Source organism: Homo sapiens, chromosome 2 (assembly GCF_000001405.40).
Source record: "Homo sapiens chromosome 2, GRCh38.p14 Primary Assembly".
NCBI lineage: Eukaryota > Metazoa > Chordata > Mammalia > Primates > Hominidae > Homo > Homo sapiens.
In genome coordinates, this window is record NC_000002.12 from 216385105 (window position 1) to 216412700 (window position 27596).

The following is a 27596-nucleotide window of genomic DNA, read 5'->3' on the forward strand; positions in this document are numbered from 1 at the left end:
ATAATGTAAACATAACTTCTATTACATTGGGAAAACAAAAGTGTGTGTAACCTGCTTTGTTGCAATATTCATTTTACTATGGTGGCCTAAAACTGAATCCGCAACATCTCAGAGGGATGCTGGAACTTACTACATGGGGCACTTCTCAGAACTCTGTTAGTTCAGATAAGGTGGAGCATTGAGTCTGGATTCTGATAATTCATGGTCATGTCACCTTGGCCACTTTACTCCTTGTGCTTGCTTCCTCATCCACAAACAAAACAGATCAAACCTCATAGAGCTGCAGAAAAATCAAATGAAAAAAATTAACGTAAAGCACTTTGCATGGTGTCTGGCACATAGTAACTCTCAGCAACAGTGGGCTCTTTCCAAGATGATCATGACCACCCCTTACTCCTCACACTGACAGAGCCAGAAGACACTCAATGCATAGCACTATTTATGGGACACAACCTCTGCCCTGAAGAATCTGTGAAAGCAAAAAAGGATTACACATAATCAGAGACCTAATGATTCTTAATGTCCTGGTTGTCCAACTCCATCCACAACAGTTGATCTCCCAATTCCTTGATGAGTCATCATGTTTTCTAACTTCCTCAGCAAACAGCACAACCTTGTTCCATCACCAGCTTCCCCATCTTAACACGTTGCCACACCTCTGCTTGCCTTTCCTAACCTAGAGACTCTACCTCCCCGTCCTGTCCTTCCCAGCAATTCCCCTTCTTATACACCCCTGCAGTTATGTACCCCAGAAAAATTAGCCCAATCAGTGTTATCTTGTAATTCATTTACGTGGGGTACGAGAGCATGAGTGAGCAGAGTGTGTATGCATGTGCACGCGTGTGTGTGTGTGTGTGTAATAGATGCCAGATGCATCCCTCAGTGCAAGTCTCCTGACCTCTCAGAGCCTTGGTTTCCTCATCTAGAAAATGAGGCTATTCACTTCCACATTGAAGGGTTGTTGTGAGGATGGAATGAAAACACACATATCAAGTAAGTGCCTAGCACAATGCCTGGCATTAACACTACTGAAGATAAACATGTTCATGCTAAATAAGAAGGAGCTTGCTGCAAATTCCTTACTTAGGAGAAGATTTGCAGTTCTATTGGGCAGGATAACTCCTTATTAGCTAAAATTAAATCCCCATACCTCCTTGAGAATTACCTCTCTGAGCATTTTCACTCTGAGTTCGTCCCAGCTAGAGCTGGCAGGATTTGTGCAATGTACATATACTTGTGAAATTCAAGCACACTGTCTCTTGCTGACAGACTATAATGACTGTAATAAACAGGGAAACCTCTGTTCTAATAAACAAGTAATTACAGTTGACAATAAATGTGTAAACATGATGCTAATTAGCAAATTGTCTCATAGCTGCTTCCAGCTTGGGGACACGTGTACACATGCCCTGAAATATGGATAAGATGGGTCACCATTCTATGTTCTCATCCATAGGTATATAAAGATGTGGGCAATAAGTACCACCTTCTTTGTCAAATCTTTTTTTTTTCCTTTCTATAGAAAGTATTATCTTTTTCACTCCAGAAAAAGAGGTCATTTTAGCATCTTGGTTTCCTATGTAATCCCTTTAAACTCAGGTTTTCTAGTAACCTTGGGGGACTGTGATTTATTATACAAAGTGCCTTTAGATCCATGAACACTGGCCTCATTACCTGGGTTCTTTCCAAACTTAGATACGAAGACACGGCCTGTCGATCCTTGGGATTTGAGAGCAGTAGGTGATGAAGGGCTGAAAGGAGGAGGTGGTTAAGATTAATAAACAGTGTTAAACCAGCAAATTGTCTTTATTGAACCAAAAAAAGAGATAAACCACACAGGGAGACAATGACCCGAATGGAGTTTCCGTCCTGCTTTCCGGCAAAGGGGCTGTTGCTTGAAGCTTCTCTTCTAAAGCAGACAGAATTTCCACTTCTACTTCCCTAGAGATGGGCTGCAAGTTATTTTCAGTAAGAAGCAGCCACAATTAATTCCCTGGCCAAGAGCAAAAATCCTGGAGGCCTTATGTATAAACATTTTTCTAAAGATTCCTCTCTTTTATTTTCTTTAATTTTTTTATTGACATGGGGAGTAAAGGAAAGACAAGCATGATTTTTTGCTAATCCCTTTTCTAACATTTTTATTCCTTCAATAATAGTCCTCATGAGTATCACTTTCTTTTCTTTTGTCCCCTTTCACTCATCCTTCCAAAACCATAACCTTCAAGAAATTTCCATGGATTAAGAGGTAGGGAGAAGAAGTATTATCCAGTGGTTAAAGACACTGACTTTTGATTTGATCCTGGCTCCTTCACTGTTTCAGTCGGATAGGTTAGGTTACGCTGCAGTAACAAGCAGCACCAAATTTTCAGTTTCTGAACACAATAAAAGCTTATTTTACCTTTATACCAAGTCAGTGCAGGTCCAGGTGACTCTGTAGGGCAACCACCTTCATGCAGTGGGTCAGCAATCCACATCTCTTCAATCTTTTGGCACCTCCATTTCAACAAATGCCTCCATGACTGCTGGAGCAGAGGAATAAAGCATTAAAGCCCACATGAGAGCTCTTACATGTGTCAGCCTAGAAGCACCTTATCACTCAAAGTCACAACACATTGGCAAAACTAGTCACAAGACCCTACCCAATTGCCAAGAAAGATGGAAAACAAAGTTTTCCATGTATCTAGGAAGAGGAAGAGAATTGAAAATATTGGTGACCACTGGTATTAGCTACCACAGCCACTTACCAGCTGTTTGATCTTGGGCAAGACTTAATTCTCTGAGCCTCAGTTCCCTCAACTGTAAAATGTGAAAAACAAGAGTATCTAACATATAAGTTGTTGTGAAGATTAAATGAAGTAAAGCATCTTAAGTGTTTACCATAGAGTCTGGCACATAATGTGTTCAAGAAATGGGAGGCACCTTCATCAAATGTATCATGGTTAGTATACTTTTTACTTGCTTAGAAAATAGGGAGAAGAGGTTGGCAGAGATTGGAAGGAGAGAGAGAGAATAACCTGCAAATCCATCATTTTAACTACTAGGCTTCTCAAGAAGGCTAGGTCCTAAAAACAGGTATGAGTAGATGTTCTTTAGGCTCACAGAGCACTGGGTGTGATCAAAGCATGTGGTACCCGGGCACAACAGTCTCGCACGAGAGGCTCTTGTGCCTCCCACCTGCCTGTTAGTCAGGATCCTTATAGGAACCAGACAACACACTCAGACTTTCTAATGAAGGTACTATTTACAGATGTATAGGTAGAATTAAGAAAACCAACACTGACTCATCTAGGAAGGTACCATCAGTAATGTAATGTCACCTTTAGACCTAAAGGAGCAAAGGGAGGAAGTGGTGTTATGGGGAACCACCCAACAGAAGCACTAGTCAAAGCTGGATGTAGCGACTGCCAGAACTGTGACAAGTAGGGGAGGAAACAAGAGGAACAAATATCCCAATCTCTCATTCCTCCTCCCTTTCATCCCCTGATAATGCCACCCATTGACCAAACCCAACTGAAAGCCACAAGACAGGGAAGCCTGGGTTTCTGGGTCATAGAAATGGCCCCCAGCCCAGAGAAGTCACCTGGGGTTGGGGACAAACAGTATACCTGTGCTCCAACTCTCCCTCTCTCTGCACTCTTCTTAGCTGCTGCCTCCTCCTCTCCTTCTTCCTTCTCTGCTCCTCCCACTTTCACTTTGCTAGGTTGACTGAGCATCTCCTCAGGTGAAAAGTACTTCCTGGATGGTGATAATTAAAGTCAGTACTTCTATCTACCATGCGGAGTGAGAAATCCATGGAGTCAGCCCAGAGAGTTCCTGGACAGTCCCATTAGCATGCTGTTGCTGCTGATGCTGCTGCTATCCAAGTCAAAGCACATGCACAATTTTTGCCCACAGTTTCTCAGTAAGAGGACTGGGGTAGTGGACATCTGGGGTTTTGTTTGTTTGTTTGTGTTTGTTTGTTTGTTTGTTTATTGGTGCTCATCATATATTTATCTTATCTTGATGACATTCTTGCTTCTCTCTAGGGTATCATCCTTTCCTCCCCAAGTCTCAGCTCATGTGTTTCAGGTAGAGTTGACTTGAGCCTGGCTCAGAGGTGGAACATGTGACCTAGGCTTAATCCAATAATTGCGTCCCATTTTCCTATACACAGAAATTGTTTCAGGGGTGGATATGTGATGCAGTCAGAGCCAATAAAATGTAGTGAAATTTTGCTAGAAATTCTGGAACAAAGACTTTTCCTAGAGCAGACACTGCAGAAGACATTATGGCTGGTTGACTTTCCACCAGCCATTCCACCCTAGGTGATCGTCTAAGCCAGGATTCTCAACATTACACTATTGACACTTTGGACAAGAGAATTTTTTGTTGTAGAAGAATTGTCTTGTGCAATCTGGAATGTTTAGCAGCATTTCTGTCATCTACCTACTAGACTGCGGGAGCACCCCACCCCACCCCACTCAGTGACAACCCAAAATGACTCCAGACTTTGTCAAATGGCCCCAATGGGGCAACATCTCCCCTGATTGAGAACCACTAGTCTAAGCTAACTGTGAACATTTTATCCTACTTATCAGTGGCTGGGTGAGGAATGGGCATGTGATGCAATTCTGTCCCATAAGATGTAAAAAGCCTTCTACGAGATTCTGGGAAACATTTCCTTTTTCTGACAAAAGAGCAGAAGGGAGAGGTAGTTTCACTTCTTTTTCTGCACATTGCAGTGTCTGAATATGACACTTAAAAATTTAACAGCCATTGTGTAACCATGAGGGAAGCCATCCTGAGAGAATTGACACTGAAAATGAAGGGGTGGGAAAAACCTGGCATCTCAGCTACATTGTTGAGGTGCTTAATCAACCATTCTGGATCTCACCACATCTTTATATTTCTTGTGCACAGAGAAAAATTTCTTGGCCGGGCGCAGTGGCTCACGCCTGTAATCCCAGCACTTTGGGAGGCTGAGGCGGGTGGATCACGAGGTCAGGAGATCGAGACCATCCTGGCTAACACAGTGAAACCCCGTCTCTACTAAAAATACAAAAAAATTAGCCGGGAGTGGTGGCAGGCGCCTGGAGTCCCACCTACTCTGGAGGCTGAGGCAGGAGAATTGTGTGAACCCGGGAGGCGGAGCTTGCAGTGAGCCGAGATCGCGCCACTGGACTCCAGCCTGGGCAACAAAGCGAGACTCTGTCTCAAAAAAAAAAAAAAAAAAAAAAATTGCTTTATCATCTAAGCTACTTTGGGGTCAGATTTTCTCCTGTTTGCAGCTCAAATTATCCTAACTGACATAGACTTCAATAAGGACATATGTGGCCCTGGGAGTTACTGGAAGTTCTCTCTCTTTTTTTTTTTTTCTTTTTGAGAAGGAGTCTTGCTCTGCAGCCCAGGCTGGAGTGCAGTGGCACCATCTTGGCTCAATGCAACCTCCACCTCCTGTGTCTCGGTTCAAGCAATTCTCCTGCCTCAGCCTCCCGAGTAGCTGGGATTACAGGCTCGTGCCACCAGACCCAGCTAATTTTTGTATTTTTAGTAGAGATGGGTTTCACCACGTTGGCCAGGCTGGTCTTGAACTCCTGACCTGGTGATCTGCCCACCTCAGCCTCCCAAAGTGCTGGGATTACAGGCATGAGCCACCGTGCCCGGCCTGGAAGTTTTCTTCTAATCATGAAGAAAGGCCCTATCTAAGACTCGAGGATGCAGAGCTGAGGACAGGGAAGAAGTGGATCTTAGTGACAAATGGTTTAGATTTATGAGACAATACGTTTTCTTTGCTTGGCTTTAGTCCATTAGGGTTGGGGTTTCTGTTGCTTGCAACAGAGTGATTTGACTGATACAGATGGAATAGGAATAGAGTTTCCAGTACCCAAAAGTCACCCCAGTGAGACAACAGATATAAGTATTTTCAAATTAATCTGAACCCAACAAATAAATCTAATCTATACCAGCAAATAAAGTAGAATGAAGCACTACCCAGCCCCCTCCCACCCCATACCTTTCCCAAATATAACAAAATACTTCTCCTTAAAATATTAATAAAATTAAGGAAAGTATAGGCCTCAAGTTTGGACACTTGTCACAATTTCAAATGCCACCGAATCATTGCAGATACTGCCTGGATGCTTCATACAGATATTTGGTCATAAGAATCATATTAAATCCGTAAAAAGGAAGCGTTAAAAGGAAATAGATACAACCTATCTAGCCTTCTCATTTTACAGAGGAGGAAATGGAGGCCTAGAGAAGGAAATAATCACTAAGGTCACTCAGTTACTGAGAGGCAGAGTCAGGACCAGAAGCCACATCTCCTCACTATTCTACCCCAGCTCATTTTCCCTCACCAACTCTATCTGATAGTAGGTCCCATTTTCTGAAATGATCCATGTAGAGATTGAGGATTTGGCCTGAAGTGCTAGAAGTCACTATCCCTGCAACCCAATCTCAGTCGGTGGCACCTATGAGAAAACATGCTTTCAAATCTCTCTTGGCCGGATATGGTGACTCACACCCATAATCCCAGCACTTTGGAAGGCAGAGGAGGGCAGATCACCCGAGGCCAGGAGTTTAAGACCAGCCTGGCCAACATGGCAAAACCCCGTTCTACTAAAAATACAAAAATTAGGCTGGGCATGGTGGTACACGCCTGTAGTCCCAGCTACACAGGAGGCTGGGGCACAAAAATCGCTTGAGCCCAGGAGGCAGAGGCTGCAGTGAGCCAGGAGTGGAAATCGCGCCGCTGCACTCCAGCCTGGGCAACAGAGTGAGACACTGTCTCAAAATTAATTAATTAATTAATTAAAATAAAATAAAATCTTCTTCTTGGAGCAGTTGTATCAGCAGCCCTGGGAGGCCTTGGGATAGGTGGGACTGCCACCCTCCTCTGGGACAGATGGCCAGTCTAGCAAGGCTGGTCTGGCAGCCTGCTGTCCTTCAAGCTGAGTGGAGCCAGCTGGGTGCTGGGGTCAGCGGGGAGGAGAAGGATGGAACATCCAGAGAATGGCAGGGTGGGAGAATGGGCCCTCCCAGTGGCAGGAGGCATAGACTCTTCTGTGCCACCAAAAATACCATCCAAATTTAAAGCTGACAACACAGGTGGAGTGGGCGGGCCACTGTGATTTGACGGGTTCTCAGAGGCTCTGCCTGCCTAAAAATATCTCCTCTACCCACCTGCCTGGGACACCGTCCCTTCTTATCAAGCCTGAAATTCCTACCATTAGAGTTGCTAAGGGTTTAGATGACAAAGAACGGGGCATGTTTCCCAGCAGGTCACCATTAAAGCAGGCTTCCTGGGAGTGGAAGGGAGGCCCTTGAGTCTGCTCCTTTTAGCACAAAGAGCTAATACGGCCAGAAGCTCAGAGGAGGCAGGAGTGGCCTACTTTACAATTTTGCCTCCTACTGAGATGCCAGTCACTTAATTCATTCATGCCCATATGACCAGGGCCCTGAAGAAATTAGGAAGCAGGCTGTAAAGAAAATAAGACAATGGGCCCACAAGTAAAGCATCATATTCTGCTTCTCCTTTGCAGTTCCATTTAGGTTTTGCATTTTCTCCTCACGGGAATCTGGGTCCAAGTTGGAGAACTTTTTTATGTGCTCGGGGCAGCCAGGCATTAGGGTGCACCCAAAGCCCCACAGGACCCCCCAGAGTTTGTTGTTCTCCCTAAGTTCTTCCCCACTTCTTCTCATCACCACTTCCCCTTGGCTAATCCCAGGAAAAAATTAAAAATCCAAGTGTGGGCTGGGCGCAATGGCTAACTCCTTTAATCTCAGCACTTTGGGAGGCCAAGGTGGGCGGGTTGCTTGAGCCCAGGAGTTCCAGACAAGCCTGGACAGCATGGCGAAACCCTGTTCCTACAAAAAGTACAAAAATTAGCTGGCTGTGGTGGAGCACGCTTGTAGTCCCAGCTACTAAGGAGGCTAGGGTGGGAGGATCGCTTGAGCCAGGGAGGTCAAGGCTGCTGTGAGCTGAGATCGCACCGCCGCACTCCAGCCTAGGCAAAAGAGTGAGACCCCTTCTCAAAGGAAAAAAAAAATCTAAATGTGTCAGGTCATGGCGTGCTATTGAGAAGTAGAGGAATGAAAGGGTGGGAGGCAGGGTGGGCAGTAGGGGAGATTCACACCCCTGTTGATTGGTTTTGCCCATTCCATTCTGACATGTGTGAGCCTCAGCTCTGCTGTCAGAGGCTGAGGCAAGGGAGGGGGACTGACAGGACAGGTCAGAGGGGACCATGGCTGACAGAAAGGGCCTGGTGGTGGCAGAGTGATTAATGATCCTGGGCTTGGAGAACTGACGATGGCCAGAGGAGGGGAAGATAGTGTTGATCCGTGCTGGAGGTTGTGCTGGGAATTTATAAGCTCTGGTGTGAAGAGGAAGCTGTCTGAATACTTAAGAAGATGCTTGGTGTAGGCCTTGTTGGTTGGAATTAGGGTGGGTACCTTGACTTAGGTCACATCATTCATTGCTTCATCAATAAGGTGCACAGGAATAAGACTAGCAAACCCAAGTGAAAAAATTCATTAATGTCAGGCCATTCTGTGGTTGTCTTATCTAGGCCAGACACACCCTGGTGGAGGAACGGGGAGGGCTTGCCCTTGAAGCTAATGGATGCTCTCATTGTCCATCATCCTGGCAAGAATTTGATTTGACGCTGGCTATAAGGATATAAAGAGGAGAGACAGAGAGTGGAAAGAAAAAAAAGTGTTCGTTTTCCCCAGAGCAGGGTATGTCTTTATCTGGCGTCCCAAGAGAGGAGTGGGATATTCCCAGTGAGTGCATTTTGGGGCAGAAGGAAGGCTACCCTTTGCCAAATGTAGGCAGCCCAGGAGCCAAACAAGGAAACAGATCCTAGGGAAGAACCTGATATCGGGCAAGAGTTTTGGTAATTTTCAGTTTTTATATTTCCTTCCATTAATCTCCGACTTACAGAAAAGTCTCTTTAAGATTTGCAGCCTGGTCTCAGTGATGCTGTAGAGGCTGAGGGAAGAGTCTGGTACCCATTTGGGACCAAAGAGCAGAGCAGTGGGCAGTGTCCCCTCCCTTGAGACCAGGGAAGTCAAATCAGTGGTAGTAGCAGGGCAATCATATCCAGTCGAAACACGGTGAAGGTCAGTGAAGGAGGCAGTGGCTCAGAGATAAGGCAAGAGTAATCATCTCCTGGATTTCTTTCTGGACACATGCAAGGCAGCACTCTGGGAAACTCTCAGAAACAGTTTGGGGGTCTCTGAGGACTGGGGCTTCAGCTCAGCCACTGGCATTTGAGGGGTTTTATCTTAGACATCAAACATGTCCTGCAAGACCCAGCATTGTGTTGGGCTCTAAGGATACAGGGATGAATTCAATATGACCTTCCCACTTAAGTGACTTTACCCTGTCTCTCCAGGTGCCTGGAACCACAGGACCCTCTATAAGAAAAGGCACCCTGAGTCCTGGCTAAACAGGACCACTCATTTTCCTGTACATTGCCCATATTGCCAGGCCAATGGCTCAGGTTTAGGGACCACAGGTTTTTAAGATCTCAAAGAGAGGTTTGAGATTATCTGGCCCAAGTCTCCATTTTGGCAGATGTTGAGACATATATATAATACAATCTGTTGGGGAAAAGGGCATCTAGACCTGTCCTTTTTGCAAGTTGATATCAGAGCATCACCCTCACTCAGAAGCAGAGAAAAGGAGGTGAGTCCTGCAGCCATTGTAAGTTGGGGAGCGTTTGTGTTTCAGTGTGACCATCACGGGGTCTATGCTGAAGCCCTAACCCCCAATTCCAGAGAATGTGACTTCATTTGGAAATAAGGTCTTTGTGGATGATTAAGTTAAGAAGAGGTCATTAGGGTGCACCATAATCCAATATGACTAGTGTCCTTATAAAAAGGGGAAATTTTGAAACAAAGAGATAGACACAGGGGGAATGTCATGTGAAGATGAAGGCAGAGATCACATGATGCAGAGGAAGGCAGGAAGTGCTAATGATTTGCAGCAAACCACCAGAAGCTTGACAAGAGGCATGGAGCAGATGCTTCCTCACAGCCCTCAGAAGGAACCAACCCGCCAACCCCTTGATCTCAGATTTCTGGCCTCCAGAACCGCGAGACAGCAGATTTCCATGGCTTGAGCCGCCCGGTTTGTAGTACTTCATTATGGCAGCTCCAGCAAACAAATACAGATTTATGACCTCGTCTACCCGACGAGGATGCCTGGCCCAAGCTGGCATACTAAGAGTTTTCCTGGAACTTGGGAACTGGGACAAAGAGGGACTAAGCCAGCAAGACCGAAAAGCATGGCAGTCCCAGGACAGCCATGAAAACCATATGTGAATTAATGAGTGAGCAGATTGGAGCAGGTAAGGAGAGGAAGCAGAGATGCCATGGGAGGGAGGTCCTAAGGCCCCACAAGCCAGAGAGAGCAGCACGGTGGTTGGAGTTTTGGTTCTCTTAACCCCCAGAGGTGCCTTGTGCCTTGTCCATTTCCCTAGAGTCCTCTGCAGCCTTTAATTTGTCTGGGTTAGCCAGAGTGGATTTCCATTCCTTGCAAATCTAAGGGCATGAATGAGAGCAGCCAAGAAGAATATGTAGAAAAATGTTAGTATTGGATATTTCCAGATGGTGGTTCTTATTTCATTCCCAAGGGTTATCAAAGTTTCTAATTTTCCTACAGAGAACCCCTATAATGTGTTTAATATCTTAAGCTAACTAGATTAATTCATTTATTCATTCACTTGGCAAATAATTATTGGCGCTTCCTTCATGCAAAGCATTGTTTTGGACCCTAAGGACGTCACGTACAAAATGCACTTAAATCCTTGCCTCCTGGAGCTGATGATAAAGAAGATGGACAAGTAAAACATATGGAATGTGAAATGGTGATAAGAGTGATGGAGAAAATAAAACAGGAGAGGAGGTTGGAATTGCCAGGTAAGGAGAAAGATTTTCATTTTAAATATGTTGACCAGGGAAGGCATCACTGAGAAAGGGAGATTTAAACCAAGTGTTGAAGGAGGCGAGGGGAACGAGCCACTTAAGTATCTGGGAGAAGGGTGGTTTGGGCAGAGAGGCCCACAGATACAAAGTGTGTGAGGCAGATGTATGCCAGGCAAGTTCCAAGAAAAGCAGGTGACCAGGGTATCTGAAGCAGAATGAGAGAGAGGGAAAGGACCAGAAGATAAGGTCAAAGATGTAGTTGGGGGAGGAAAAACCAAAAGAAGTTGAAAAGAAAACAAAAGAAAAAAATAAAGATGTAGCTGGGAAAGGCCAGGTGTGGTGGCTCATGCCTGTAATCCCAGTACTTTGGGAGCCCAAGGTGGGTGGATCACCTGAGATCAGGAGTTCAAGACCAACCCAGGCAACATGGAGAAACCCCATCTCTACTAAAAATACAAAAATTAGCCAGGCATGATGGTGTGCATCTATAGTCCCATTTACTTGGGAGGCTGAGGCAGGAGAATCGCTTGAACCCAGGAGGCAGAGGTTGCAGTGAACGGAGATTACGTCACTACTCCAGCCAGGGCGGCAAAGTAAGACTTGGTCTTAAAAAAAAAAAAAAAAAATGTAGCTGGGAGAAGAAAGTGGGAAGGCCACCCACAGTTTGTGAGGAGTTTGATTTGATTTTTGGGCTAAGTATCTATTGGAATATAACAAAACTTAAAACACAGTGGCTTAAAACAACAGCAAACATTGATTCCCTCACAGTTTCAGTGGCTCAGGGACACTCATGAGATTGTAATCAAGATGGTCGCCACATACTGTATTCATCTAAAGCCTCTTAACCAGGGCTGGAGGACCCTCTTCCAAGGTGGCTCACATACTCACAAGGCTGGCAAGTGGGTGCTGGCTGCTGGCAGGACGCTGTGTTCCTCAACACATGGCTGTCTCCATGGGGTCTTCATGACATGGGGAATAGCTTCCTCCCTAGTGAGTGATCCAAGAGACAAAGCAGAAGCCTCCATTTTTTATGACTCCACACATAATATTTCATAGTATTTTATTGCTTGCACAGGTCAGCCTTATTCCGTGTGGGAGGGGACTAAACAAGAATCTGAATACCAAGCAGCAAACAATACTGGGGGCCCTTTTGGAAACTGGCTATCACAGCTATTCTATTTAAATGAGAATTTCCAATATATCAAAAGACAGACGATTTGCCAAGTTCAACTGCATCCCCCTTTGTAGTGTTTATCTAAAAAAACAAACAAATTCAGGAACATAACAATTCTCTAATTTTGACTTCCAAAGGACCTAGTCTTAAGTAATCCATCTTTTATCTGTAAATCATCTCCTGAAATATTATTTGCCTCCAGAATGAAATAATCTTGCTAAAATTATTTGGTAATAAACAGCAAGCACCAACTTTAGCTGTCTTGGACACAAATGAAGGGAATCTGGGGGAAAGATTCTGTGGTGTCTCACAGAAACCTTGGAAGGACCAGATTACTAAGCCTCAACAAGGACAGGGAACAGGGTGGTTTTGGAGACTTCGGTTCCTGCAGGACAAGGCTCTTCTCTAGGAGTTGCCACCACTGTGACTCAGCTCCCACACCCCAGGCCCTCTCTTTTCAGAATGGCCAGATTCCTGTGCAATCTGATGGGCTTCAATTAGGTCAGGGGTGCTCCAGCCCCACATAGACTCATCACCTACAGACAGGGGAGTAAGGGACACAAACTCCACTACTAAGGTCCCCTTGAGTATTGTATTAAAGAAGTTCCACAAGATGAGTGAGTCTTTGGGAGCTGAGTAGCCACCCCAAGATATACTTTCTATAAAATGCAAAGATATATTGTACTCACATGGTCACTACTGAAATTTTATTGTGAGCCTGATTTTTTGATATGAGTATATGCATGTTTGAATGTGTTTTTATGTAAAACCATTTCATTATTGCTATGATTTGAATGTGTCCCCCAAAGTTGGTGTTTTGGAAACTTACTCACCAAGGCAAAAGTGTTGGGAGGCACGGCCTAATAAGAGGTGATTAGATCAGGAGGCTCTGCCCTCAAGAATGGATTAAAATCATTATTGCAGAAGTGGTTAGTTGTCTCCAGGGTGGGATAGTTATAAAAGCAATCCAGCCCCCTCTTGCTGTCTTGCTCTGGAGAGGTTTCTCACCATGTGATGCCCTCTGCCAGGTTACGACACAGCAAGAAGGCCCTCGCCAGATGCATCTCCTCCATGTTGGACTTCCCAGCCTCCAGATCCCTGAGCCAGATAAATTTCTATGGTTTACAAATTACCTAGTCTGTGGTAGTCTGTTACAGCAATACAAATGGACTAAGACAATTATCATATCTAACAAAACAAAAATTCTTTCAAATCATCATGTATCCATTCAAATTCAAAATTTCTTGATTGTGTCGAAGTAAGGTTTTTTTAAACATTAATTTAGTTTGATTCACATTTCAATTTTTAGTCTAGCACAGGATCACCCACGAGGGAGCATTTTGAAAAAGTGTGGAGTGTTTTTGGTTGCCCCAATGATGGGTAAGGGGCTTACTTCTGGCAAGTAGAGGCTGGGACCCCAGGCAGCTCAATCTTTTACTATCTGTGAGACAATCTCACCATCTCATATATACTTACCCTATGCTCCACACAATTTTCAAATGTTCTACTAGATATTTACAGAGTTGTTTATAACTTGCTTATAACTATCTGAGCTTTAAAAAGTAACAATTTTATATGTAAACAGAGAGACTTTTTAAAAATGATTTTTAATATGCACTAACTGTATGCTAAGAATGAAACTACTCTGTAAATTAAGGGAAGATTAGAGTTTGTGTTGTTAATTTCTTTACCAGATTTGCTCACTCTTTTGGAAAATCACATCATTGACTGCCACACCACTCATGGTAATTGAGTCTCCAATATGCCTGTATTAGTTTTCATTCATAGCTGTCATAACTGTGGTGTTTTGCTTTTAGGAAATAGTGCCTGTCTTATCATGTATCCCGCATAGTCCTCTCTGAGTTGTTGGCTATTGAAATACACCCCTATGTGTGATTCCTTAGCTTCTTCCTACTCTAAGTGTTGCTCAGTCCTTCTCATCATGCCTGAACCAGATACTGTGGTCTCCAGCTGTCTTTCTCTTAGAATAATGTCCCAGCATTTAGGTTTGGTTGGGGACGGGAGCAAGGGGTGGGCATGAATTTCCTGAGCTTCCCTGGCATTTGCAGGGAGACAGCAAGGGAATACCTCTGTGGGTCACAACAGAGGGAGAGCCAGCTGAGCTTGCAGGATGGAAACATTTAGTAGGCTCCCTCCAGCCATCACTGTCTCCACTACTGCTGACGCCACCATCCATAACAAAGCTTCCAATTTGCAGGCTTCAGATTCAGCTTCTGTTTCCTGAGTGCCTCCACTATACCAGCCATTGGGCCAGGCATCCAGAAGCCCTAAGGTAGACCTCATCATCCCTGTTCTACAGGAGAGGAAAACCAAGACTTGGCTACTACAGTATACAAAGGGTGTGGAAAAGTCCTCCTAGAACCCTTACCCTGCTTCCAGGAGGAGCTGGACAGTTCTTTCCAAGTCCAGGCAGAAAGAAGTCTCCTCTTTTTCCATTCTCTTTGTTACTTTATATGTCTGTGCAGGCTTGGTTGAGGAAGAAGGGGGGCCAGAAGGAAGTCTGGCCAGATGGCAGGGTAATAAATGACTCTGACTTAATAATTTGTTGCTCTCCTCTTAATTAAAAGGCTTTTCCCTAAATGATTTGCTGATCACACAAACAGCACACACTAGTTGGGCGAGGACTGGGGGCCCAGGGAAATCTAGACTGAGAGGAGAAGGCATTGGAATAAAGAGGTGGCAGATGGCAGAAGAAGCCCACCCTCCATGTCCCAGGGTGGGCCCAGCTTCAGGAGCTCCCTCCTCCTCAGGTCTGAAACAATTCAATCCAATGATAGAGCTTTGGGGGACTGGTTCTTCTTTCAGGCCTCAGCTTTTCTGGAAGCTGACTTTGCCAGGGGGCTTTTTAATTTCTGGGATGAAGATATAAGCTTTATTTTATCTAACACGTGGCTTTGCATTCAGTTTCCTCAAAGCCCCATGTGGCCTTGGGGGGTGATCAGGTAGCCTTTGGACCATTTTGCATATAAACTGTCACTTATACACTTGATCAACTGGGGTGGTGGTCATAGAGGGGGACAGGGCACCCATTGTTCCAAGCAGCGTCCTGTCAATATCTGCAGTTGCAAGCAAATGACACTAGATAGTGTCAATGGATAAGCTCTCTATTGCATCTTTACAACTGCAATTTATAAGTTCCTGGGATTAAAATCTGCTTTCCAGCAATTATCACACAGAGGTATATTTTCAAAGCCTCACATGTAATTAGAACATGTTATTGATAAAGTGCTAGCTAAAGATTTAGACTTTGAGTCTGTTCATGAGGGATCAGTTTTGTTAATATTGATAATGTTTTCCCCCTTTAATGCAGTTAGGAGTTAGATTGAGATGCCAAATTCAATCAAAATGCACATCTTATCCCCCGCCAAGGGACTTCTGGCTCTCTTTTACTTGTTCAGACTTGTAGAAAGGACCCCAGAGATCGTGTCATATAGGAAAACATCCTGCCAATCTATAACTCTATGTTAAAGAATAAACTCTTTTACACATTATTTTGGTTAACTAGATTTTTCTCAGCATTTGTGCTTCCATCAGATTGGATCATCCTTGCCATAACCACCATCTTCCTATTATTGCTGGATTCCAAATTTCTACTTAGCCAGTTCAGACACCACTTCATCCGCTTAACCTTCCTGATTCTGTATTCCCTGTGTCTCCATCATCAGAGCTCCTCACTAAACCCCCAAGGCCATTTATCTGTGATTGATTGATTGATTTCTTTTTAGAGACGGAGTCTCACTATGTTTCCCAGGCTAGAGCACAGTGTCTATTCACAGGCATAATCATAGCCCACTAAGGCCTTGAATTCCTGGGCTCAAGCAACCCTCTTGACTCAGCCTCCTAAGCAGCTGGGACTACAGGCACACACCACTGCACTGATCTTATCCACAATTCTTTTTTTATTATATTTTCCACACAGGTATTCTCTCTTCTCCTAGTCTTTAAGTTCCTTGAGACAAACTTTCTTTTTAGTGTTTGTATTTCATCTGTTGGCAACAGTATCTTGCACACAAATCATAAAGACCAAGTTGAAGAGGCTTCTTACTTTGTTTCATCAGTCTGCTAATATGTTATCAATATCACACTAGTTTTATTATTGTAGCTTTGTAGTATATTTTAAACATTAATAGAATAATAACTTACATTTATTGATTACTTAATGTATTCCAGGCAATGAGCTAAGTGCTTTACATGATCTCAGGTAATCCTAACAGGAAGTCTATGGGATAGGTACAATTATTTCCATATTACAGATGGAAAAAACAAAATTTAAAGAGATGAATTTACTCCAAGACAAATGCAAAAAGTGCAGAACAGTGTATATAGCACACTGCCATCTGTATGAAAGGGAAGATAAATAAATGTTTTTACTTAAATGTGCATAGAATATATCCAGAAAAATATGCAAGAAATTGATTATGTAATTGAAATATAATAATTATATCCATGATTATTATAAGTCAATTAAAAATAAACAATTTTTTAAAAAAAGAAATGGATGACATTGGCTGCCTGCTGGGAAGGGAATGGGATGCGGGAGTTAAGAATGGAAGAAGAGCAGAATCAAGTTTTGGGTGTGCTGAAGCTCATACAATTTGGGGGGAGCACTTTTACCAAAAAAATACAAAATTAGATACAGAGCCTTAGAAGGGATATATGCCAATGAGGATCTCTGATGCCATAGGTTACTTTTTAAATCTGCCCTCAGCAGAAAGGAGACATTCCACTATATATACTTTTGTATATATTAAATATATGGAGCTTTAATCATGTAAATGCATTGTCTATTCAAAAAGATACAGTTTTTAAAAAATTTATATTTTTTGTTTTGCCAGGCACAGTGGCTCATGCCTATAATCCCAGCACTTTAGGAGGCTGAGGCCGGCAGATAACTTGAAGTCAGCAGTTCAAGACCAGCTTGGCCAACATGGTGAAAGCTTGTCTCTACTAAAAACACAAAAAATAGCTGGGCATGGTGGCACATGCCTTAAGCCCAGCTACTCAGGAAGCTGAGGCAGGAGAATCGCTTGAACCCGGGGGGCAGAGGTTGCAGTGAGCCAAGATCATGCCATTGCACTCCAGCCTGGGTGACACAGTAAGACTCTGTCTCAAAAATAATAATAATAATATTTTTAAAAGCCAGTTCTCCAACTGACTGCATAAAGCAGGACTTTTACATTTTTCAAAAAGTAAATAACTAAGTTTTCATTTTTTCCAGAAGCAGAGGTGTCTGTGCCTATAGCAAGCTGGAGGGGGTGCGGAGGAGGAATTCCAGAGTTGCCTGTTTTACGGAGGCAGGGTAGAGGGACGTGGGGATTTACCTTCGTAATTCAGAGTAGAGATTTGTGTCAAATGTAAAAGGCATATACTGTCGTAACATGGAAAAATGAAAAAAATTAAAAATAAAAGGCATATACTGCACATGTATACATGTAGGGATAAGAAAAAGAGACCCTGCTTTTTCAGAAACGTACAAGAGAAAATTAAGGTAAAAACTCAAATAATATTGCACTGATTGTTAAAAGGGAGCTAATTTCCTGGAAACCAGTGCTGAGGACCAAGGATGTGAGCAGACGGGATGCTAATGCTCTTTCCCAAATGGCTCTGATGGCCCGTGGTTTTCTATTATTGCATCTAGGAGTAGCAGGTCCCTTACTGTAAAGTATCTAGAAATCAGTCAGGCTCTTAACCACTCAATTAGGGTAATTTATCCTTGCGATGAATGGGACCGTTCCTTCTCCCTGATTTAGTCTGGGCTGTGCCTCCATCGAATGCAGATATAAATAGGTCTGTTTGGGGCAGAAAGCCAGCCTTGTATCCTCCCCACCCTGAGGTCTGAACCCGCAGCTTGTAGCCTGGCTCTGTGCAAGGGGCTGATTGTAAGTCCTCCAAGTCAACAGGAACACAAAATAGCTAGCAGCCCCTCCATTTATCTTTCCCCCATGGACAGAACAAATTTGCAGAGAATTTGGACAGAATTTGCAGATAATTTGGAGCAAACATTAAAAAGAATAATCTGACAATAAGAAATGTGAAATGCTGGAGAAAGGGAAGGAAGGAATTGCCTTTTGCCCAGATCCACAGGAATCCCACACTTTGGATGGTTATTTTGGTGCCATCTTAGTTACAGTAGAGACAGGATGCAGGCCTCAAAGCCTTCCTTTCCCCTACTCAGGAAATTCCTTAAGAACTGATTGGCCTTTTGTTTGTGTGTGTGCTATTTTATTTCAGTCAGGGGTAGACCCCTCTTTCTTTTTCTATTGAAGACCACTCAGCTAGAAAAGAGGAAGGCAATTGGTGGCCATATAAGAAAACATCAAATCAGCGTGAGGAAAGGCTAGAGGAGGGAAATATGAAATGTTTCACTTGTACCCTTTGAGAACTGAAAACCAGGAGCAATTTAACACATACGGCAAACTGGGCGAAATAAGCTTTAGCTCCATGCTATGGGCAGCTGGATGTGGGGTTAGAGGAGCACAGAAAAAAAAAAAAAGAGAGAGAGAGAGAGAAAGAGAAAGATAAAAAGTAAATAGATATAATTTACTATAATAAAATGAAAAAGAATGACACAAAGAGACAAAGCATACACATGTAGAATTAAGGAGTAGGCCAGGTGCGGTGGCTCATGCCTATAATCCTAGCACTTTCAGCGGCCGAGGCGGGTGGATCACCTGAGGTCAGGAGTTTGAGACCAGCCTGGCCAACATGGTGGAACCCTGTCTCTACTAAAAATACAAAAATTAGCCGGGCGTGGTGGCGAGTGCCTGTAATCCCAGCTACTTGGGAGGCTGAGGCAGGAGAATCGTTTGAACCCAGGAGGCAGAGGTTGCAGTGAGCCGAGATTGTACCACTGGACTCCAGCCTGGGCGACAGAGAGAGACTCCCTCTCAAAAAAATAAATAAATAAAAAAAATTAAGGAGTACAGAGGGGCAGGTGAGACAGAGGGACAGAGGGACACAGGCAGCCTATCTATTCGCCCCCTTGTGGTCCTCAGGGACATTGCAGACAGCCAATTCTAATCCAACCTTAACATTTAACATCTGTAGACAAAAATGCACTTTGAACACTTAGGCAATTTCCAGTGTGGTGGATACAATTATATATATTAAGAGTAGACTACTGATCAAAGGCTTATGGTGCTCCACTTGCTGGAGCTACAGAGTGGCCTGCTGGATGAGTAGAAGAAACTAGGATGCCTGAGATCAAGTTTGGGCTCCAGCGTTCTCTATATCCTTGCACAAGCTACTTGGCTTCCCTTTGCCTTCATTCTCCCTTAATAATCATGAAAGAACATAATTTTTCCAATCTATGTCTCTGTAAAGAAGCTACCTCATATGCAGGAAGAAATGGTCCATAAGAAAGCTCAGCCCAATGTGATGGCTCACACCTGAAATCTCAGCAATTTGAGAGGCCAAGGCAGGAGGATCACTTGAGCTCAGGAGTTCAAGACCAGCCTGGGCAACATAGTGAGACCCCATCTCTACAAAAAATAATTTTAAAAGTTAGTCGGGCTTGGTGGCGTGTGCCTGTAATTTCAGATACTCAACAGGCTGACGTGAGAGGATCCCTTGAGCTGAGAAGTTCAAGGTTGCAGTGAGCTACGATCATGTCACTGCATTCCAGCCTGGGGTGATAGAGCAAGACCGTGTCTCAAAAAAATAAAAAAGAAAAAGAAAGTTTAGTGTATGACCTTGAATTTCTTTTTCTTTTCTTTTCTTTCTTTTTTTTGGGGGGGTTGGGGGGAATCTCACTCTGTCACCCAGGCTGGAGTGCAGTGGCACGATCTCGGCTCACTGCAACCTCTACTTCCCAAGTTCAAGCGATCTTCCTGCCTCCGCCTCCTGAGTAGCTGGGATTACAGGCATGCGCCACCACACCCAGTTAATTTTATTTGTATTTTTAGTAGAGATAGGGTTTCACCATGTTGGCCAGGCTGGTCTCAAACTCCTGACCTCAAGTGATCTGCCCGCCTCACCTCCTAAAGTGCTGGGATTACAGGCGTGAGCCACCACGTCTAGCCGAACTTGAATTTCTAAGCCAACTTCATGTCTATTGTGGCCAACAGGGGGTGAGCAGTAGAGCCCTGCACGTGCATGTGCATCACTTTATGTGCCACATCACTTTATGTGCATGTGCTAGACTCAGACATTCAGGCTTTGTGAGATAGAGAGATGGTGCTGGAGCTACCTCCAAATAGCTTTCTGACCTGTCCATCCAGTTCCATCACCATCATCTCTTCCCTAGACTCCTGCAACGGCTTCCTAAGAGGTCCTCCTATCCCCACTCTGCCCTTCTGTGGGGCTTTCTGCACACAACAGCAAGTAGCTTCCTGAGACACACAAGTTACTCCACTCTGGTTTGCATCTCATTAGGGGCCTCCTGCTGCTCTCAGAACAAATTCCCAATGTCTTTGCGTGGTACTGAAGAACCTGGACGTTATCTGTCCTATTTCTCTCCCCAGCCCCATCTTGTGTCCTTTTCATCCTCTCGCACCTCCTCCAGCCAAGCCGGCCTCACTTCCACTTCTCAAACATGCCCAGCTCAGCTCTTCCTTGCCTGGGCTCGATGTTGCTTGCCCCTACAGCTCATTCAGAACCCGCTTCCCTCTGAGCTCCGCATGGCTGCCTCCTCTCCTCCTTCAGGTCTCCCCTGGGGACACCTTTCCTGACCACTCTGAAATAGTTCCCTCTTAAGTGTCCTCTTGGGCTCTCTGTTTAGGTCCCTCACAGCACTTATCATTTAGCTGATTTGTTTCTTTTTGTTTCTTTTGTGTGGGGGGGATCTGCCTCCCTAACTAAACTGTAAGCTTTATTTAAAAAGGGTGACATCAGTAATGCAGCCCTGGTGCTTCTGCACACCGTGCAGCCCATAGTAGGTCCTTGAATTTTTGTTAAGTGAATATAAGAATCAATGGATGAAGGCCGGGCGTGGTGGCTCACACGTGTAATCCCTTTGGGGGATCACTTTGGGAGGCTGAGCGGGTAGATTGCTTAAGGCCAGGAGTTCGAGACAAGCCTGGGCAATATGGCAAAAGCCTGTCTCTACTAAAAATACAAAAAGTAGCCGGGCATACTGGTGCACAACTGTAGTCCTAGCTACTTGGGAGGCTGAGGTGGGAGGATCATATGAGCCAGGGAGGTAGAGTTTGCAGTGAGACAAGGTTGCACCACTGCACTCCAAACTGAGTGACAGACTCAGACCCTGTCTAAAAAGAAAAGAAAAGAAAAGAAAAAGAATGAATGGTTGAAAAAAGAATGAATGGATGAATATGAACAAAGTGGAATTTGCAATATTGAAGAAACAGAAAAAAGTAAAATTTCCTAAGTCTAAAAACACTGGAGCAGGGTGTCTAGGTGGGTGCTTTTAGCAAAGGACAGACAAAGCCATCCCAGCAGAAAATGTGCCAGGTTTGAGAGAGAGGCTTGTGAACTAATCACAGCCACCAAGACCAGTTAGAGAAATTAAGACACTAGGAGAACCCTCATACCAAGCCATGGAATGCGTGGTGTAAAGAAATTACACGAAGATTCTGTCTTCATAAGACATTTAGAGTCGAGGGAGAAGGAGGGCTAGAGGAAGGCAGACAAGAGGAGGAAGAAAAACGGAACTGTCAGACTCCAAGCAATTAAGTCCATCAGAACGGAACAACCGTTAAGGAAGGTGAATTTCTTGGCTTATAAACCTTTACATTACTCCTCTGTGCTTTGGATATGCAAATGTCTTTGCCAACTGGCAGCATCTGAGAGGGAATAGCTTCCTTTTCCACCCAAAGCATTGCATCTGCTCCTGAATCTCATCACAGCACTCTAGGTGTAATTAACCTGAGCGATGACATGCCCTAGGGGTGGCTGTCAAAAAAGCTCTCCCCAAAGGGCTGTCAAGTGCTCTCTAGGGAATCCTTGCTGAGGGAAGAGGGAAGCCCTGTACTTACATCACTATCAGGTAAGCTCCACAGAGAGGGACTTGAAACTACTTTAGGTGCCCAGACATACACTGTCAGGCAAGGGCAAGCATGCAATCACTATCTGTATATTTAATTAGCATCTAGAAAGAGCCCTACTAGGGGACTGAGGTGCCTCATTCCAGCCTGGCCTGTGCCAGGTCTATGACATCAGGCATAGCTAACTTCTCTATGCTTCCATTTCTTTAGTTCTAAAGAGAGATTAATGCTCTCTAAGGTCCTTTCTAAATCTCACTTTATGGGTTAAGGAAAGAAAATGAGACAGATTCTCTTGAAATGTATTCGTAGCGCTGCTATTAAACTTTGAGGACCCTAGAGTACACAAGGTGGATAATTAAGAGTTATAGACTGGAAAGAATATGTCTTAGATGCAACTCTTGTCCTCAAGGGACCATAAATCCAAGATAACCTAGAGATGATGTTGTGGAATCCTAAGGGACTTTGGTTGAACCTGAGAATGACAAATTCACATAATTTGGATCCTTTTGTAAATGTTGCCTTTTGCACCTGTATTTTACAGTAAATTTTCAGCTTATTGAGAGTTCAGCATATTTCAGGGGAGGATGAAAAGAAGGAAGGAAAATGGAGGGAGGGATGATAAAACTCCTTTGACTTGAGAGTTAGAAGTCAGGGTTCTTGGCCAGGCACAGTGGCTCACTCCTGTAATCCTAGCAGTTTGGGAGGCTGAGGCAGGTGGATAACTTGAGCCCAGGAGTTCAAGACCAGCCTGTCCAACATGGTGACACCCCATCTCTACTAAAAATACAAAATTTAGCTGGGCATGGTGGTTTGCATCTAGAATCCCAGCTACTCAGGAGGCTGAGGCAGGAGAATTGCTTGAATCCAGGAGGCAGAGGTTGCAGTGAACCAAGATCGCGCCACTGCACTCCAGCCTGGGTGACAGAGCGAGACTCCGTCTCAAAAAAAAAAAAAAAAAAAAAAGAAGTCAGGGTTCTTTGGATGCAAGCAACAAAGACTGACTTTGGTTAATTAGAGTCTCCCCACTCCAAAAATAAAAATAAAGAGTTCACTGGAAGGCTAAGGGCAGTTCACAGAATAGCAAAATCAAAATCAAGGCTCAGGAATAACAGGGTCAGGGTGACTCTCGAAGCTGGGTGACAGGAACTAAGGAACAGGCTCCATTCAAAGCCACTGCTGGGCTATATCGGTTCAGTTGTCTTTTTCTCATTGTATCATATCCTTGCAGATTAAGTTCCCAGAAGGAGGGGGTCTGGTGTTTTCCCTCGTATCTTGCATCCACTGACTTCCCCGAGGATGAGGCCCCCTGATTAACACTCTTCCAAGTCTGCATGAATTGGGGAGGGATGATTACTCCAGAGAGATGGGAAATCAATTTCTTCCACCTGAGGAAGTAGCTTTGGCAAAATCGAAGTATTCTTCTGGGGAAGCAGCAAGACTGCCACTTGGCCGGGGCACCCCGCTGGGGGCTGGCAATGCTCTGCTTGCAGTGGGTCCTGGAGCCAGGCTCCTTTCCTGGGAGAAAGGGGTGTGTTTTTACAACACACAAAGGTGCTGCTATGGACTGAACTGTGTCCTCCCGAGATTCACATATTGAAGGCCTAACCCCTACTGTGACCATATTTGGAGACAAGACCTGCAAGGAGGGAATGACGGTTCAGTGAGGTCCTAAGGGCAAGACTCTGATATGACAGGATCAGCGTCCTAAGAAGGGACACAAGAGGGGGCTGTGCTCTCTCCCTCTCCACTGCATAAGGACATAGAGAGGAAGAGGGTCCTCACCAGAAATCAATGGCTGGCACCTCGATCTTGGACTTTGCAGCCTCCTGAATTGTGAGAAGATAAATTTCTGTTGTTTAAGCCACCCGGTCTATAGTGGTGTTTTTTTTTTTTTGTTTTTTTTTTTGTAGCCTGAGCAGACTAACACAGGTGCCATATGGACTGGCAGCCGATCTGGCCTCTATTCCCTCACCTATGAAACCAGATGGTCTCTAAAGCTCCTTCTAGCTTTAAAATGCAATGTGTCAATATATCCATGAATCATCTATCAATGCATATTTGCTTGCTGCTCAACTAAGTCCTGAGCTACAAATAATAGGAGGCTGTCGAGTAAAATACAGTATGCCCAGTTACATTTGAATTTCAGATATGTTTAAATCCATTTTTAGTGTAAGTATGTCCCACACAATATTTGGGACAAATATTTGAGACATTTGTTAAATCTGGCTGTTCTAGTTATTTGTCTTCTGTTCTCCAAATACTGTAACCTTTTGGAGGGAGAAAAACTGGACCTTACTCATCTTTGGATTCCCTTATGGTGGTGTCTGCCAGCTTTTTGGATTTCACTGACTAAACATTATTGGATTAAGTTTTGGAAGAAAAAACAAATTTTTATTTTGCCCAATAAAGGTATTTATAATAATCATCACTTTACTAAAGAAAAACCAGTTAAACTTTAAAACCTATTAAATAGACTCTCAGGATTTTATAATTAATTGTAAAAATTTAGTTTTACAACATATTCATTACATTATCCTTTTGTTTGCTTGTTTCTGAGGCAACCAGGTGATGCTCTGAACCATTTTGGCACTGCTCAGGTGACCAGTGTTTGGGAGCTTCAGCTGTGCTGTGTTTGGTTGAAGGTCTTATATGACTTCTGGACATTTTTGCTTATCTGCTAGGAAGCTCAAAGTCAAATTGCAGCTTGACCGCTACAGCTGTCTTCTCCTCTCCTTTCACTCCTTGTTTCCTGTGTTTTCTTCCAGGCCTTTAAACTTTTTTTACTAAATGAAGTTTCATTATAATCTACCTTAAGAACTGGTGAAATACAGTTTTTTAAAAAGCCTTGCATACAGTAAGACCTCAGTAAACGATGCTACTGACAAAGCAAAGATGCAACTATTGAGTGGGGTCTAATTAGTTTACTTTCTGAAGATGATTATTCCCCCCAAATGCATTTTTTTTTGTTGTTGAGATGGAGTTTCACTCTTGTTGCCCAGGCTGAAGTGCAATGGCATGATCTCAGCTCACTGCAACCTCCGCCTCCAGGGTTCAAGCGATTCTCCTGCCTCAGCTTCCTGAGTAGCTGGAATTACAGGCATGCACCACCACGCCCAGCTACTTTTTGTATTAGATGGGGTTTTGTAGAGATGAGGTTTCACCATATTGGCTAGGCTAGTCTCGAACTCCTGACCTCAGGTGATCTGCCTGCTTTGGCCTCCCAAAGTGCTGGGATTATAGACATGAGCCACCACACCCGGCCTCAAAGGCATATTTTAATTTCCTATTCTTAGAATTTTAGAATGTTAGAGCTAGAAAGGTAATCACATCTTCTAACTCAATTCCAGACTTACTGAATTGGAATTTCTGGGGTAAGATCTGTGAATCTATAAGAATTCTAGTATCTAACATGAGGATCCACTGGTCCACAGGCCCTCTTAGCATATGTCAAAGCAGGGTATCATTTTACAGGTGAGACGACTGAGGCCCAGGAAAGCGAAGTGATGGTCATATGAATCGGTGACAGACATGAGTCAAGTGCACGGCACCCAGCTTTCTTAGTAAATTAACTGACTGTTGGGAGACAGGAAGGGCAGGGACAGGTGTTCATTAACTAGTTTCTGTTCACACTATACAGTAGGAAATGAGCGCTAGGTATAGAGAAACGGACGATATAAGAGATTTACCTCAAATAATAACAACATCCCTCTCTTACCTGTTCTGGGATTTCACAGTTCACTAAGCACTTCCCCTCATAATACCTTGCTTTGATTCTAATAACAAGATTTACCAAGGTGGTATTGTTTTCTACATTTACTTTACAGATGAGAAAATGGAGGCACAATCACTGGGTATGTCAGGTCAATAAAAGGGGTAGAGCTGAGATTTGAATACTTTCTACTACTAAACCTCACACAGATCCCCTAAGACAGGCAATGTCTTTGTCATTTAAGACAAATGGGCTGGGCGCAGTGGCTCACACCTGTAATCCCAGCACTTTGGGAGGCTGAGGCAGGTGGATCACTTGAGGTCAGGAGTTTGAGACCAGCCTGGCCAACATGGTAAAACTCTGTCTCTACTAAAATTACTAAAATCAGCCAGGCATGGCGGCATGCACCCATAATCCCAGCTATTTGGGAGGCTGAGGCAGGAGAATCATTTGAACCCAGGAGTCAGAGGCTGAAGTGAGCCAAGATTACACCACCACACTCAGTCTAGGCAACAGAGTGAGACTCTGTCTCAAAAAAAAAAAAAAAAAAAAAAAAAAAAAAAAAAAGGAAGGAAGGAAGAAGGGAGATTATTTATTGTTTCAAAAGTCACACAAATTCTACATTATTATTTTAGAAAATTCAAATCATTCTGAAAAATAGAGATTAAAAAGCTGAAAAGTGTATTTCATGCCACTCTGCTCCTGAACAGTTTGGTGACTTTTTAAGTTTCCTTCCCAGACCTTTATGAGTTTACATACATGTACAGGTAAGGATGAAAAAAAAAAAAATCAAACTACACACATTGCTGTGCTTCCTTTTTCTTAGCATGTCTGGTCCATTTTTTCAAATCCTTTAGTAGACTTGTTTGTTTTTAAATGAGCCATGTTTGAAAATAGAACAATAGCAACATTCATATGCACACTGATAGAGAAATGTTATATTTATCACCAATGGTGCTCAGGATGGCTCAGGATGTTGGTGCTCAGGATGGGGTAAAGTGACTCTTTAAGTCTCATGACTAATCTTCTCTCAAGAGGAGGGGCTATGGAATCAGAATCACAAGCTAGCTTAATAAAGCCTTGAGAAATATTATCAAATAGCTGTCTTAGTTTCCCCCTCTGTAAAAGGGGGACAAGAATGTGTTCCATAGGTTGTAGTGCGGTTAAATGAGGTAACTCATATTTATGCTAAACACAATGACTGATGACTACAATGATGACGATGATGGCAGCCGGGCGCAGCGGGTGGGGCTTAAATGGCAAGTATAGCAATACCAGGAATGGATGCCCCGGGGAGATACTTTTTATTAAGAGCTGCCAAGTTAGTATGGCTGTCTGGGATGTCCTCTGGAGACAGCCGACTCCGGGTTTGGAAACCTCAACGTCCTAGGCTTTCAGGACCTAGTGTTTGGCTAAACCTCTGGAGAACTACAACTTCCAGGGTGCACCACTTTCGCCCCGCCCATGACGTTGCAGCTCCCGTTTCTCGCCAGGCTCCCGGCCCGAACTACAAATCCCAGAAGACACTGCAGCCCCGCTCGCGTTCTCGTCTCATCATTCTTACTTTTGGAAGCGAAACTGCGGCCGCGTTGCCTGCTGGGAAATGTAGTTCAGCGGTGGCCTAGCCCTTCAGGCCTGGCCGCTACAATAAGGCTGGCGAACTCGCAGCGCTTGAATACCCGTGGCCTAACCGTCCACTCGGAAGACCGGTCCCGCTCGGGAGGCTCTGCAGTCGCGCCTGGGGTCAGGGCCGGGGGCGAATGTGGCTCGCGTTCTAGGCCTCCCTGGGTGAGAAAGTGGTAGACTGGCAGGAAGGCGGCGGAGGCGGACGAGACCAATG

General features: G+C 44.1%; 1 protein-coding gene and 2 long non-coding RNA genes across 4 annotated transcripts in view, besides 5 other annotated features; 2 read left to right on the forward strand and 1 right to left on the reverse strand.

Annotated features, from left to right (window-relative positions):
- Positions 1 to 17: 17 nt before the first annotated feature.
- Positions 18 to 27396, reverse strand: SMARCAL1-AS1 (SMARCAL1 antisense RNA 1). The gene is made up of 5 exons (XR_001739881.1): positions 27321 to 27396; positions 11800 to 11898; positions 2399 to 2519; positions 1675 to 1751; positions 18 to 280 (listed from the first exon to the last, which is right to left on the reverse strand). It is a non-coding gene; the product is annotated as an SMARCAL1 antisense RNA 1 (long non-coding RNA).
- Positions 6828 to 7357: an enhancer, noted in NCBI's record as "H3K27ac-H3K4me1 hESC enhancer chr2:217256655-217257184 (GRCh37/hg19 assembly coordinates)". NCBI's record gives its function as "activates a minimal SCP1, AML or CMV promoter by ChIP-STARR-seq in primed H9 embryonic stem cells {active_cell/tissue: H9 hESC(primed)}" and the evidence as "EXISTENCE:reporter gene assay evidence [ECO:0000049][PMID:30033119]".
- Positions 9981 to 14644, forward strand: LOC107985984 (uncharacterized). Of its 2 annotated transcripts, none has more exons than XR_001739879.2 (3): positions 9981 to 10334; positions 10746 to 10905; positions 13114 to 14644. It is a non-coding gene; the product is annotated as an uncharacterized LOC107985984 (long non-coding RNA). The 2 variants fall into 2 exon arrangements; XR_001739880.2 differs by having other exon boundaries at positions 14304 to 14644.
- Positions 27142 to 27436: an enhancer, noted in NCBI's record as "tiled region #13820; HepG2 Activating DNase unmatched - State 1:Tss, and K562 Activating DNase unmatched - State 1:Tss". NCBI's record gives its function as "activates a minimal TATA promoter and a strong SV40 promoter by Sharpr-MPRA in HepG2 and K562 cells {active_cell/tissue: HepG2 | K562}" and the evidence as "EXISTENCE:reporter gene assay evidence [ECO:0000049][PMID:27701403]".
- Positions 27142 to 27489: a biological region, named in NCBI's record as "Sharpr-MPRA regulatory region 13820".
- Positions 27180 to 27269: an enhancer, noted in NCBI's record as "active region_17094". NCBI's record gives its function as "activates an Ori minimal core promoter by ATAC-STARR-seq in GM12878 lymphoblastoid cells {active_cell/tissue: GM12878}" and the evidence as "EXISTENCE:reporter gene assay evidence [ECO:0000049][PMID:35858748]".
- Positions 27380 to 27596, forward strand: part of SMARCAL1 (SNF2 related chromatin remodeling annealing helicase 1) — a 70570-nt gene continuing 70353 nt past the window's right edge. The window contains exon 1 of the mRNA NM_014140.4: positions 27380 to 27544. The gene's annotated coding sequence lies outside the window, so the exon portion shown is untranslated. The remainder of the gene's footprint in view (positions 27545 to 27596) is intronic.
- Positions 27400 to 27489: an enhancer, noted in NCBI's record as "active region_17095". NCBI's record gives its function as "activates an Ori minimal core promoter by ATAC-STARR-seq in GM12878 lymphoblastoid cells {active_cell/tissue: GM12878}" and the evidence as "EXISTENCE:reporter gene assay evidence [ECO:0000049][PMID:35858748]".